The following is a 14356-nucleotide window of genomic DNA, read 5'->3' on the forward strand; positions in this document are numbered from 1 at the left end:
AGAAGGAGGAAGAAGAAAGAGGAAGAAGAAGGAAGAAGAGGAAGGAAGGAAGGAGAAGAAGAAGGGGGAGGAGGAGGAGAAGGGGAAGGGGAAGGGGAAGGGGAAGAACAAGGAGGAGGAGGAGGAGAAGAAGAAGAGGAGGTGGCAGCCGTGAGGCAGAAATCAAGACTGCTGGATGGAACTGCTTTGGACAGGAGAAAGGATCTGGAGAGCCCTGGTTCTGGGGAGCCACCATGCTCAGGTGTCAATCCTCGGTAGATCTATGGGGGAACTGGGGGTGGCCAAGCGTTCTGAGCCAGCCGGAAAGCTGCGTGGGTTGCAGCAGCCTGGGTGGGTTCGAGTTGGTCAGCAGGGAAAGGCCCCCTGGGTTCCAGGCACCCGGGACTCAGCTGCAGAGACGGTGAACCAAGCCCCTTCCTCTCCTAGACTCACCTTCCAGCCCAAAAAAGATGATTGGCAAATAAAGTTAATAAACACAATCATTTCAAGTAGAGTCAGGTGCTCTGAATTACATCGAGCAGATGGATGGGAAGCGGCGCAGGAGGGAGGTGTGGACGGGGAGGATACTGGGGGAGGGAGAGGCAGCCCCAGAGGGTCTGTGGGAAGGGACAGCCAGTGCAAAGCTGCAGAGGAGGGACAGGGCATGGTGGGGGAGTATTCAAAGGACAGAGGACAAATGAAGGGAGATGAGGACCAAGCCCACCAGGGCTGGATGGTGCTGGCGTCAATGGGCCGTGCCCAGGAAGGTGGGTTTATTGTTAGGGTCTTTGAGGAGTCAGTGAGGGTTTTTATCAGACATGGTGTGATTTAATTTTGCTTGTTTTTATTGGGGTAAAATACACATAACATGAAATTTGCCATTGTAACCACTTAAAAGTGCACCATTCAGTGTCATTGAGTACCTTCACAATGTCGTGCAACTGCCACCTCTATCTAGCTCCAGAACCACCCCCAAAGGAAACCCCAGACACATTAAGCAGTCACTGGCCACTTCCCCTCCCCCTGCATTGCATCCGTGAATTTGTCTGTTTCTGACATTTCTTTGTTGTTTCTTTTTTTGTTTGTTTGTTTGAGACAGAGTCTTGCTCTGTCAACCAGGCTGGAGTGCAGCGGCGTGATCTCGGCTCACTGCAACCTCTGCCTCCTGGGTTCAAGCGATTCTCATGCCTCAGCCTCCCAAGTAGCTGGGATTACAGGTGCCTGTTACCACATCTGGCTAACTTTTGTATTTTTAGTAGAGACGGGGTTTCACCATGTTGGCCAGGTTGGTCTCGAACTCTTGGCCTTAAGTGATCCGCCTGCCTCGGTCCCCCAAAGTGTTGGGATTACAAGCGTGAGCCACCATGCCTGGCCACTTTTTTTTTTTTTTTTGAGACAGGGTTTTGCTCTGTCACCCAGGCTGGTGTGCAGTGCCACAATCAAGGCTGACTGCAGCCTTAACCTCCTGGGCTCAAGAGATGCCTCCTGGTGGAGCTGGGACCACAGGTGTAGGACACCATGCCCAGCTAATTTTTTTTGTATTTTTGATAGAGTAGGGCTTTGCCATGTTGCCCAGGCTAGTCTCGAGCTCCTGTGCCCAAGCAATCCACCCGCCTCAGCTTCCCAAAGTGCTGGGATTACAGGCATGAGCCACTGTGCCTGGCCTGGACATTTCATGCAAATGAAATCATCCAATCTGTGGCCTTTTGTGTCTGGCTTATTTTGATTTAATTTATTCCCTTTTTATTTATTTATTTATTTATTTGAGACAGAGTCTTACTCTGTCGCCCAGGCTGAAGTGCAATGGCACTATCTTGGCTCACTGCAACCTCTGCCTCCTGGGTTCAAGTGATTCTCCTGCCTCAGCCTCCCGAGTAGCAGGGATTACAGGTGTGTGCCATGACACCCAGCTAATTTTTGTATTTTTAGTAGAGACGGGGTTTCACTTTCGAACTCCTGACCTCAGGTGATTCACCCTCATCGGCTTCCCAAAGTGCTGGGATTACAGGCATGAGCCACAGCGCCCAGCCTTTTTTTTTTTTTTTTTTTTTTGAGACACAGTCTCACTCTGTCGCCCAGGCTGGAGTGCAGTGGTGAGATCTTGCTCACTGCAACCTCCGCCTCTCACGTTCAAGTGATCCTCCTGCCTCAACCTCTGGAGTAGCTGGGATTATAGACACTTGACACCACACCCGGCTAATTTTTGTATTTTTAGTAGAGACAGGGTTTCACCATGTTGAGCAGGCTGGTCTCAAATTCCTGACCTCAGGCCATCTGGCCGCCTGGGCCTCCCAAAGTGTTGGGATTACAGGCATGAGCCACTGTGCTTGGCCTGATTTAATTTCTTAAAGCCTCTCGTAGAGAAGGGCCCGTAGTTGGGCATGGTTAAGGCACCATTAGGTGGGACGTGCTGGGGGGCTAGGCCGTAGGAGCGGGATGGTGAGAAGAGGCGATCTGGAGGGATCATGGAGGCATCGCCCCCAGGATTTGCAGCGACTGGGCCAGGGGGGGATGAGGGATTGCAAGGAGTGGGGAGGACTCGGGTTTCAGGCCTGAGCAAGTGGGACAATGGGGGTGCCAATGTGAGGTGGTGGAGACTGTGAGCGGGGCAGCGCCATGGCAGGGGATCAGTCAAAAGTCCACTCAAGAATTGAGAGTACGGGGGAGGTGCTGCTGCACAAACTTTTAGCACAAGCCAAGCCTGCACCCACTGGAATGTGAGCATCGGAGTGGGTGGTGGGGCAAGTGACAGGCACAGTGCTCATCAAGGATGGTGGGCCATGGGTCATACACCTCCAGGTTCTTTTGGTGGGAACAACAGGTCAATTTCTTCTGCTCAGTAGGATGTATATCAGCAAGAAGATGAGCACACCAGCTCACTCAAAACTTTAAGGAACCAGGCCGGATGCGGTGGCTCACGCCGCCTATAATCCCAGCACTTTGGGAGGCCGAGGTCGGGGGGATCACCTGAGGTCAGGAGTTCGAGACCAGCCTGGCCAACATGATGAAACCCCCATCTCTACTAAAAATACAAAAATTAGCCAGGTGTGGTGGCATGCGCCTATAGTCCCAGCTACTTGGGAAGCTGAATGAATCACTTGAACCTGGAGGCAGAGGTTGCAGTGAGCCGAGATCATGCCACGGCACTCCAGCCTGGGTGGCAGAGCAAGACTCCATCTCCAAAAAAAAAAAAAAAAAAGACAAAACAAAAAACTTTAAGGAACCCATTCACCTGCCTAATTAGTGGAAATGTTTCTAGGGCCACAGGGCCAAAATGCACAGTTGCACAGGTTGGACACTGCACAACCCAAAAGGAGTATATTTATACAGACTTGGACATGACTGACATCTTCCCTGAAGTCAGGCAGTATACAATCTGTGCAGTGGTGCCTGGTGCCGGGCAGTCAGGGTCATCATGAAGTTGCTGTGTTTCTAAGTAAAGGAGCTCCCTTGAGAAGAGATAGGGAAGTTTGTGAGAAATATGTCAGCTTTCGTGGCCTCTGAAGGTCAAGTGAACTCTGGCATTTAAACACAGCGGCCAGAGTCACTACACATCCTGTGTTTTCTTTATGAGAAGAAAAGCTTGGCAAGGGAAATGTCAGCAACAAGGTACACGCAGCTGGTTCGCCGCAAGACGGCCACCCATGTCGTGCTGTCTTCACATATTCCAGGCACTGGGAGGTCTCTCCAGGATTAAGGCCACCACCCTCCCCTCACTGCCGCCTCCCCTGTCATGCACATGGGAAAGGCCTGGCTCCTCTTAGGCCAGGCAGACCACCCTACTTTATTTGGCCTTGGGGCCAGTGGACAGGCCTTCTAGGGCTGCCACCTTGGTCCCCAGGGGCAGTGCACTACACACCAGGCATCGGCAGTGGGCACGACTCCCTCTGGGATTGTGCAAACAGGACCTCTCTCCAGCAGCTCCACGGAGCAGGTCTCAAGAGCCCCGGACCTGGGTTTGAATCTCAGCGGTGCCACTGGCTGGCTGACTGTAGGACTTTGGGCAAGTCACTTTACCTCTCTCAGCCTCTGCTTTTTCCTCTGCTAAGTGGGAACTAGAAGGCTGACCTCTCAGGGCTGCTGGAAGGGACAGAGGGGCATGTATAGAGTCCCTGGCCCATCCTTAGGGAGATGAGGGGAGAAACTTACACCCACTCACATATTCACACACACACACACACACATACACACTCCAAACAAAGTTTCATTTTTTTTCTTTTTTTTTTTGAGATGGAGTTTCCACTCTTGTTGCCCAGGCTGGAGTGCAATGGCGCGATGATCTCAGCTCAGTGCAACCTCCACTTCCCGGGTTCAAGTGATTCTCCTGCCTCAGCCTCCCGAGTAGCTGGGATTACAGGCACTTGCCACAACATCCGGCTAATTTTTTGTATTTTTAGTAGACGGGGTTTCATCATGTTAGCCAGGCTGGTCTCAAACTCCTGACCTCAGGTGATCCACCTGCCTCAGCCTCCCAAAGTGCTGGGATTACAGGTGTGAGCCACTGCACTGGCCCTAATCAGGTTTCAAATCCTTCTCTAAATACCCATCCTAGGCCACCATGTCTCACTGATTCTTTTATTCCTTTTTTTTTTAAGAACAATATCTAAAATGCAAAAAAAAAAAAAGGATATAATAATAAACAGTCATATTTTCATCACCCAGAGAAGTCCAGCCGCCAAGCAGGTGGCCTTTGATGGTGGGAGGCAGTGCCACCCCTGCCCTGCCTCCCTCTTCACTCTGGCTTACCCCATGGTGCTTTTCTGGCGCAGATGAGGAAACAGGGATTTGAGGGCTGCAGGAGGCAGAGGAGCCATCCTCCCGGTTCTCTCAGACAGGACAGGAAGCCTGGAGCACCCAGCTTCACAGAGGCCCCAGCACTTCCGTAGGCCTCGCACCACCTCCCTCACCCGCCTTTGCCAAGCCACCCGCTGTGATGATTTGAAGGCCACTCCGGCAGGGCAGAGAGGCCCTGCAGGTGATCTTGCACTCTGCCTGCATTTCCACCGCCAGAGCCTCAGATCTTTTGTTCTCCCAAATCAATGGCAGCAATGCTGTGGGCTGCCTCAAGTTTCGCCTCTCATCCTGGGATCGGGCGGGGGCTGGGAGTCCTATTGGACAGGGATGCCCCATTCGGGGGATTGCCAGTCAGGGCTGGGGTACGGGTGAACCCTCAAGAGTGACACATCTACTGGGTATTTAGACATGGGAAACAACTTCCCATTTGGCTGCGAGGAGGCTTCGGGAGCTGGGAAGTTCCCCTGCAACTGCCTGTGCTCCCGGGAGGAAAGGCCCCACCCAAGCCAGATCGTGGTCCCCTCGCAGGTGTAACGCATTGAGCTGGGTGAGCTGGGCAGCCTTGGAGTTGAAAGGACCCCAGGAATCCAGTCCAGGTCCCCTGTGGTGCAAATGGGGAAACTGAGGTCCGGACAGGGAGAGGACCTCACCCAGCCGGTGGCTGCCAGGTAACGCATGTCTTTGGTTTTGTCCCTTTAACTCTGTGAGTCTGGGTCTCAGTCTCCTCATCTGTCAGTTATAAATGATAATCCCACTACAGTCCCAGGGCATTGCCGGAGAAGCTGGCGGCGGCGTGGCAGTTGCTGTTCTCTGAAAAGTCCCCACTGTTCCTGCCCTCCCAGCCTTGGTCTTTGCTGGGCCCTGGGGTCCCTTCCTCAGGCTCCTCCCTGCTGAGCCCGCCCCCCGCACATCCTGGCTTGGGTCCCTGCAGTAAGCCCTGTTCTCACCCCCACCCCCGTCCAGGAACAAGGGCTGGGATGCTCTCACCAGCGTCAGCTTCTCTCATGCTGAAAGCTCTGACTCTTGCACCATGCCCAGGCCAGAGCCCTCACTCAATGCACTGAATAACTGAGCACACACAGGCACACCTGGAATCCTAACCGCTTCCACGGTCCCCTAAATGCTCATCCTGAGCCAGAAAGTCTAACTGACTCTTTTGTTGTTCTTTTTTTTTTTTTTGAGACAAGGTCTCGTTCTGTCTCCTAAGCTGGAGTGCAGTGGTGCAATCATGGCTCACTGTAGCCTCCAACTCATAGGCTCAAGAGATACTCCTACCTTAGCCTCTCAAGTAGCTAGGGCTGCAGATGTGACCACCGCACCTGGCTAATTATTATAATATTATTATTGTTATTATTTTTTGAGACGGAATCTTGCTCTGTTGCCCAGGCTGGAGTGCAATGGCATGATGTCCCGGCTCACTACAACCTCCACTTCCCGGGTTCAAGTGATTCTCCTGCCTCAGCCTCCCAAGTAGCTGGGATTACAGGCACCCGCCACCACGTCTGGCTAATTTTTTTGTATTTTTAGTAGAGACAGGGTTTCGCCATGTTGGCCAGGCTGGTCTCGAACTCCTGACCTCAGGTGATCTGCCTGCTGCGGCCTCCCAAAATGCTGGGATTACAGGCATGAGCCACCATGCCTGGCCTCACCTGGCTAATTTTTTGTTTGTTTTGAGATGGAGTCTCACTCTGTCGCCCAGCCTGGAATGCAGTGGCACAATCTTGGCTCACTGCAACCTCCAACTCCCAGGTTCAAGTGATTCTTCTGCCTCAGCCTCCCAAGTAGCTGGGACTACAGACGTGCGCCACCACGCCCAGCTAATTTTTTTACTTTTAGTAGAAACAGGGTTTCACCATATTGGCCAGGCTGGTCTCGAACTCCTGACCTCGTGATCCACCCGCCTCAGCCTCCCAAAGTGCTGGGATTACAGTTGTGAGCCATCACACCTGGCCTCACCTGGCTAATTTTTAAAAAATCTTTTGTAGATATGGAGTCTCACTATGATGCCCAGGCTGGTCTTGAACTCTTAGCCTCAAGTGATCCTCCCATCTCGGCCTCCCAAAATGCTGGGATTATAAGTGTGAGTCACTGTGCCTGGCCTGTTCTTCTTTAAAAGAAAAAAATCTGGCCGGGCGCGGTGGCTCACACCTGTAATCCCAGCACTTTGGGAGGCAGAGGCAGGCGGATCATGAGGTCAGGAGTTCAAGACCAGCCTGGCCATTATGGTGAAACCCCGTCTCTACTAAAAAAAAAAAACAATACAAAAATTAGCCAGGCGTGGTAGCACGTGCCTGTAGTCCCAGCTACTCGGGAGGATCGCTGAGGCAGGAGAATCTCTTGAACCCAGGAGGCAGAGATTGCAGTGAGCCAAGATCCCGCCATTGCCCTCCAGCCTGGGCGACAGAGCAAGACTCCGTCAAAAAAAAAAAAAAGAAAAGAAAAGAAAAATCTTAAAATGCAGAAAGATGGAAAGAATAATAAACAGCCATATTTCCCTCAGCCCAAAGTAAAACTGTCCACACCTCATCATTACTGCTTCTTTCGCTTTCTCTTTTGCCCGGGGGCAGGTGGCGGCATGGTGCACGGCGGGAGGCGGGCAGTGATGCCTGTTTTCCCCATGTTCCCCATTCACAATGGCCGTTGTCGTCCATGCCAGGTGGCCCCAGACCGATGGAAGAAAGGAAGCCCCAGTGGGAGTTTTGGTTTGGATGTCTCTGGTTATCCTCTCACACACTCACCAGCCAGCTCAGGTCCCCTCTGTACCCTGCTCACTCATATATTTTGCCATTTTTCTGTTGTGTTTCCTGCTTGTTCCTTGTTGGTCTGCAGGAGTTCTTTGAATGTGCTAGGTATGAATTCTTTGTTGGTTGTTTGGTTTGTGACATTTACATAAAATAAGATTAACTGGTTTTTTTTGTTGTTTTTTTTTTTTTGAGACAGGATCTTGCTCTGTCACCCAGGCTGGAGTGCAGTGGTCGAACTCCTGGGCTCAAGCAATCCTCCAGCCTCAGCCTCCTGAGCACCTGGGTCTACAGGCGTTGCACCACCATGCCCAGCTAATTTTTTGATTTTCTGTACAGACAGGGTCTTGCTATGATGTCTCAGCTGGTCTGGAACTCCTGGGCTCAAGCGATCTACCTGCCTCAGCCTCCCAAAGTGCTGGGATTACAGGTGTCAGCCACGGTGCCCAGCCAGATTAACCATTTTAAAGTGTATAGTTTAGTGGCATTTAGTATATTCACGACGTTATGCAATCATTACCTCTACCTTCTTCCAAAACATCTTCATCATCCCAAAAAGAAACCCCATCCTTCTTAAGCAATCTCTTCACTTTGCATTCCCCTCTTCCCCAATTCCTTGGCAACCAGCAACTGGCTTTCTGTCTCTATAGACTTACCTATTCCACATATTTCACATAAATGGAGTCATACAACATAGTGACCTTTTGTGCCTGGCTTTTTTTTTTTTTTTTTTTTTTTTTGAGACAGAGTTTCACTCTTGTTGCCCGGGCTGGAGTGCAATGGCGCGATCTCGGCTCACTGCAACCTCTGCCTCCTGGGTTCAAGTGATTCTCCTGCCTCAGCCTCCAGAGTAGCTGGGATTACAGGCATGCACCACCACACCCTGCTAAATTTTTGCATTTTTAGTAGAGACGCAGTTTCACCATGTTGGCCTGGCTGGTCTTGAACTCCTGACCTCAGGTGATCCACTCCCCCTCGGCCTCCCAAAGTGCTGAGATTACAGGCGTGAGCCACCGCGCCTGACAGCCTGGTTTTTTTTTTTTTTTTTTTTTACTTAACATGTTTTTTGTAGCATGTGCCAGTACTTTATTCCTTTATATGGCTGAATAATATTCCATTATGTGGCTATACCATGCTTTATTTAGCCATTCATCTGTTGATAGGTATTTGGGCTCCGCCATCTTTTGGCGATTGTGAATAGTGCTGCTATACCATTTGTGGTTATTTGTTTGACTACTTGTTTTCTTTTTTTTTCTCTTTTTTTTAGATGGAGTCTTATTCTGTCGCCCAGGCTGGAGTGCAGTGGCACAATCTCGGCTCACTGCAACCTTCACTTCCCTGGTTCCAGCGATTCTCCTACCTCAGCCTCTCAAGTAGCTGGGGCCACAGGCGTGAGCCACCATGCCCAGGTAATTTTTGTATTTTTAGTAGAGACTGGGTTTTGCCATGTTGCCCAGGCTGGTCTCAAACTCCTGGGCTCAAGTAATCTGCCCACCTGGGCCTCCCAAAGTGCTGGGATTACAGGCATGAGCTACTATGCCCAGCCAAAACCTCTTCTCCACATTCTCATCCACACTCCTCATTTTCCGTTTTACTTTTATTGTAGCCATCCTAGTGGGCACAAAGTGGTATATTAGTGTGGCTTTGACTTACATTTCCTTTTTTTTTTTTTTGAGACAGTCTCACTGTCACCCAGGTTGGAGTGTAGTTGGTGAATCTCAGCTCACTGCAACCTCCACCTCCCAGGTTCAAGCAGTTCTCCTGCCTCAGCCTCCCGAGTAGCTGGGATTACATGCGCACACCACCATGCCTGGCAACTTTTTGTATTTTTAGTAGAGACGGGGTTTCACCATGTTGGCCAGGCTTGTCTCAAACTCCTGATCTGAGGTGATCCACCCGCCTGGGCCTCCTAAAGTGCTGGGATTACAGGTGTGAGCCACCAACCCCGGCCTTACATTTCCTTCATGACTAATGGTGGTGAGCATCTTTTCATGTACTTGTTAGTCACTTGTACGTATTACTGAAGAAATGTATATTCAAGTCCTTTGACCCTTTTTGAATTGGGTTGTTTATCGTTTTGTTGAGTTGTAAGAGTTCTTTATATATTCTGGATATCTGACCCTTATAAGACATAATTTACAGACATGTTCTCCCATTCTGTGGGTTGCCTTTTTACTCTTGATACAGGTTGAGTACCCACATTCGCAATCATGTGAGGCGGGGTCCACCTTCTGTTCCACCGTGTAAGCCATCACCAGGCTTTAGCCAAACCATCCTTCCCCCTAGGCTGTGAGCCCACCTAGATTCCCATCACCACGTAAATGAGAATGTGATGGGTGCCCCTTTTGGGGTTCCATAGGCCAGTGAGAAGCAGTGAATTCGGGGTGCTCACAGCTCCAGGGATAGATCATGATGCTCAGAGTCATGAGAAACAGCATGAGCTGCAGAATAACACTGGCCCACAGCCACGCAGCCACATGTGTGCTTGTGTAAGGCTCGACACACAGCTAAAGAACAAATATCAGCCTCATTAAGAGGCAGCCTTGGGCTGGGTACAGTGGCTCACACCTTTATCTCAGCACTTTGGGAGACCAAGACAAGTGGATCACAAGGTCACAAGTTCAAGACCAGCCTGGCCAACACAGTGAGACCCCCGTCTCTACTAAAACTACACAAATTACAACAGGGGGCGGTGGCTCACACCTGTAATCCCAGCACTTTGGGAGGCCAAAAGGCAGGCAGATCACCTGAGGTTGGGAGTTCCGGACCAGCCTGATCAACGTGGAGAAACCTCATCTCTACTAAAAATACAAAAAATTAGCTGGGTGTGGTGGCGGGCACCTGTAGTCCCAGCTACTCAGGAGTCTGACGCATGAGAATGGCATGAACCTGGGAGGTGGAGTTTGCAGTGAGCCGACGTCACGCCACTGCACTCCAGCCTGGAGGACAGAGCAAGACTCCAGCTTAAAAAAAAAAATTTTGCCAGGTGTGGTGGTGCATGCCTGTAATCTCAGCTACTGGGAAGGCTGAGGCAGGAGCATCACTTGAACTCGGGAAGCAGAGGTTGCAGTGATCTGAGATTTCACCACTACACTCCAGCCTGGGCGACACAGCAAGACTCCATCTCAGGAAAAAAGAAGGCGGCAACCTTGGCAGGGGAGGAAGAGGAGAAGAGGGCTGGAGGAAGTACATACAGGAGAACACATTACAATTAAATAAAACGAGCACTGTCTCACATGGACCTGTTGGGTCTGGAATTGGTTCCTTCCGGTGGGTTCTTGGTCTTGCTGATTTCAAGAATGAAGCCACGGACCCTCCCCATGAGTATCACAGTTCTTAAAAATGGTGTGTCCAGAGTTTGTTCTTCCAGATGTTTGGATGTGTCCAGAATTGCTGCCTGCTGCTGGGTTCGTGGTCTTGCTGACTTCAGGAGTGAAGCCGCAGACCTTCTCAGTGGGTGTTATGGCTTAAAGGTGGCACGTGCAGTGTTGTTTGTTCCTCCCCGTGCATTCATGGTCTCCCTGGCTTCAGGAGGGAAGCTGCAGACCCTTGCAGTTAAGTGTTACAGCTCTTAAAGATGGCACGTCTGGAGTTCTTTGTTCCTCCCCGTGGGTTCCTGATCTTGCTGGTTTCAGAAGTGAAGCTGCAGAGTTTTGCCACTGGAGTGTTACAGCTCTTAAAAATGGCACGTCCGGAGTTGTTCCTACCTCGCAGTGGGTTCATGGTCTTGTTGGCTTCAGGAATGAAACCACAGACCTTTGTCGTGAGTGTTACAGCTCAAAAAGGTAGTGCGGACCTAAACACTGAGCAGCAGCAAAATTCATCATCAAAAGCAAAAAAACAGAACCAGGGAGCATCTTCGTTGCTGGCTCGGGTGGCCAGCTTTTATTCCCTTATTTGGCCCCACCCACATCCTGCTGATTGGTCCATTTTACAGCACGCTGATTGGTCCATTTTACAGAGTGCTGATTGGTCCATTTTACAGAGTGCTGATTAGTGCATTTTTACAGTGTGCTGATTGGTGCATTTTTACAGAGTGCTGATTGGTGTGTTTACAAACCTTTAGCTAGACACAGAGCACTGATTGGTACATTTACAATCCTTTAGACAGGAAAGTTCTCCAAGTCCCCACCTGGTTAGCTAGACACAGAGCACTCATTGGTGTGTTTTTACAGAGTGCCGATTGGTGTGTTTACAAACCTTTAGCTAGGCACAGAGCGCTGATTGGTGCATTTACAATCCTTTAGCTAGACAGAAAAGTTCTCCAAGTCCCCACCCGACCCAGAAGCCCAGCCAGCTTCACGCCTCACTGTGATAGCAACATGCCAGGACTTAGCCCCTGCACCAACACCCAAGGAAGAAGTGAAAGGACAGCTCTTTGGCACGAGGTGCTCCAGCCAGGCCCCTTCGAGTTTCCTATGACCCGTCATCGCTTTGACCTGCCTGGGTCCCTGAAGGGCCCTAACAGAGGAGGAAGGGCTCTTCTGGCAGGGGAAGAGGCCTGTTTCTCCCCTACCCCAGTAGTCATGGGGCCAAGCTTCAAAGTGCCTGAAAGGAGCACAGTAGGGGATGTCTTTACAGCCTAGGAGGAAGCCACAGGAATGGACTATTTCACTGATGGGGTAGCCATGCCCACATGCCCCAGCAGGCCAGCCTGGACTTGTACCTTCTGCTTGCCTGGGATCTTCCCCTGCAGACCGCCCCCGGCAGTCAGTTCCACACCAGGAGCCCTCAGCCAAACGACCACCATCCCCTCTGTCCGTGCTGACCCAATGCCCAGGCACAGTCCCAGCCCCAAGATGGGCCCAGTGATGAAGTGGCTGCCCCTTCACTTCCTCAGCAATCCCCGGTAGGTCCCGAGTACAGGCCAGACCTCCCTGCGAGGGGCACGTCCCCCTCAGATCTCAACCCAGGTGCCCTGAGTTGCCCTGCGTGTTTTTAGACATCTTCTATTCTGCGCCCTGGCTCTGTCCCCCCCATCTGTGTGTATAACCCTCTCTATTCCTGCCCGCTCCTGCTCCCTCTTCCTCCATCTTCCCTTCCTTCCTTTCACTGACCCCACACATACTGTCTGAATGCCTACTGTGTGTCGGCCACCAGGCACTCCCCAGGGGATGAGGCGAGCAGGGTCCACATGTGGGCCAAGACACAGTCAAAACCACTCAGAGAGCAACGAGCCCTTCTGGGTTTGTTTGTTTGTTTGTTTGTTTGTTTGTTTGAGATGGAGTTTCGCTCTTATTGCCCAGGCTGGAGTGTAGTGGGTTAATCTCGGCTCACTACAACCTCCACCTCCCGGGTTCAAGCGATTCTCCTGCCTCAGCCTCCTAAGTAGCTGGGATTACAGGCATGGACCACCATGCCCAGCTAATGTTTTGTGTTTAGTAGAGAGAGGGTTTCACCATGTTGGTCAGGCTGATATCAAACCCCTGACCTCAGGTGATCTACCTACCTCAGCCTCCCAAAGTGCTGAAATTACAGGAGTGAGCCACTGCGTCTAGCTGAGCCCTTGTGTTTTAAGCTGCAATGTGGGACAAAAAGATACCAGGCAGCAACTGTAGGGAGGGTGGCCTTGGAAGGCCTTTCTAAGGAGGTGACAGTCACACTGAGATCTAGAGGCAAGGACACCCGCTTTGCAAAGTTGTCGGGGAAGAGAAGTCAGGCAGGGGAACAGCAGATGCAAAGGCCTGGAGGCAGAGGCTGAGATCCTCCCGAGGACCAGCCCCTGGCCTCGGAGGTGGTTGGCCCTCAGTGACCAGAGAAAGAACAGTCTTTGCTGGTGTCACACAGCAAGTACGAGGCAGGGATCTAGGTAAGAAACCAGACCCTGCCAATACTACGTCTCATGTTCCTGCCCTGGCCACTGAACACTTGCTGAAGGCCACCCTTATTCACCGATGACAGTGTAGGATCGGTGAGGCCACCAGCAACCATTAGCGTCTGCCCAGAGCTGGGGATGGTCCCAATCAGATGCTCAGCTCCAGCTGGGAAAACAAAAGCAGCACCACATCCCCACTGTCTTTGCCATGCTGTTGGGGACGTTGGCCAGTATTGGATCACCAGCTGAGGCACACACACTTTTTTTTTTTTTTTGAGACGGCATCTCACTCTGTTGTCCAGGCTGGAGTGCAGTGGCACAATCTTGGCTCACTGCAACCTCCGCTTCCCAGGCTCAAAGTGATCCTTCCACCTCAGCCTCCGGAGTAGCTTGGACTACAGGCAGGCACCACCATGCCCGGCTAATTTTTTATATTTTTTTGTAAAAACAGGGTTTTACCAGTTTGCCCAGGCTGGTTTCAACTCCTGAACTCAAGTGATCCTCCCACCTTGGCCTCCCAAAGTGCTGCAACTACAGGCATGAGCCACTGCGCCTGGCCAGGCACATGCTGAGAGAGAGAGCCATCTGCCAACAGCTCATGCATTCACTTACCAGTGATGTCATTTGCCTGTGAGCACCCACCATGTGTCAGGCACGGGGCTGGGGCCTGCCCGGCCATTCCATCACCTCCTCCAGGCTTCTGTATCTGCGCCCCTGTCCCTGAAATAGCATTTCCACCTGCCTTGGATGCTCTCTGAAAAATGCTCCCCAAAAGATGTTCATATCCTAATCCTGGAACTCATGAAGGTTTCTGCTATGGTTTGAATATGTTCCCCAGATTTCACGTGTTAAAACTTAATCGTGGGAGGCCGAGGCAGGCGGATCACGAGGTCAGGAAATCAAGACCATCCTGGCTAACATAGTGAAACTCTGTCTCTACTAAAAATACAAAAAATTAGCTGGGCGTGGTGGCGGGCGCCTGTAGTCCCAACTACTCAGAAGGCTGAGGCTGAGGCAGGAGAATGGC

The 14356-nt window shown here is 51.3% G+C and overlaps 5 annotated features.

Annotated features, from left to right (window-relative positions):
- Positions 446-1320: an enhancer, noted in NCBI's record as "H3K27ac-H3K4me1 hESC enhancer chr17:17525146-17526020 (GRCh37/hg19 assembly coordinates)". NCBI's record gives its function as "activates a minimal SCP1, AML or CMV promoter by ChIP-STARR-seq in primed H9 embryonic stem cells {active_cell/tissue: H9 hESC(primed)}" and the evidence as "EXISTENCE:reporter gene assay evidence [ECO:0000049][PMID:30033119]".
- Positions 1321-2196: an enhancer, noted in NCBI's record as "H3K27ac-H3K4me1 hESC enhancer chr17:17526021-17526896 (GRCh37/hg19 assembly coordinates)". NCBI's record gives its function as "activates a minimal SCP1, AML or CMV promoter by ChIP-STARR-seq in primed H9 embryonic stem cells {active_cell/tissue: H9 hESC(primed)}" and the evidence as "EXISTENCE:reporter gene assay evidence [ECO:0000049][PMID:30033119]".
- Positions 4333-5238: an enhancer, noted in NCBI's record as "NANOG-H3K27ac-H3K4me1 hESC enhancer chr17:17529033-17529938 (GRCh37/hg19 assembly coordinates)". NCBI's record gives its function as "activates a minimal SCP1, AML or CMV promoter by ChIP-STARR-seq in naive and primed H9 embryonic stem cells {active_cell/tissue: H9 hESC(naive and primed)}" and the evidence as "EXISTENCE:reporter gene assay evidence [ECO:0000049][PMID:30033119]".
- Positions 5239-6144: an enhancer, noted in NCBI's record as "NANOG-H3K27ac-H3K4me1 hESC enhancer chr17:17529939-17530844 (GRCh37/hg19 assembly coordinates)". NCBI's record gives its function as "activates a minimal SCP1, AML or CMV promoter by ChIP-STARR-seq in primed H9 embryonic stem cells {active_cell/tissue: H9 hESC(primed)}" and the evidence as "EXISTENCE:reporter gene assay evidence [ECO:0000049][PMID:30033119]".
- Positions 7238-7397: an enhancer, noted in NCBI's record as "active region_11802". NCBI's record gives its function as "activates an Ori minimal core promoter by ATAC-STARR-seq in GM12878 lymphoblastoid cells {active_cell/tissue: GM12878}" and the evidence as "EXISTENCE:reporter gene assay evidence [ECO:0000049][PMID:35858748]".

Source organism: Homo sapiens, chromosome 17, assembly GCF_000001405.40.
Source record: "Homo sapiens chromosome 17, GRCh38.p14 Primary Assembly".
NCBI lineage: Eukaryota > Metazoa > Chordata > Mammalia > Primates > Hominidae > Homo > Homo sapiens.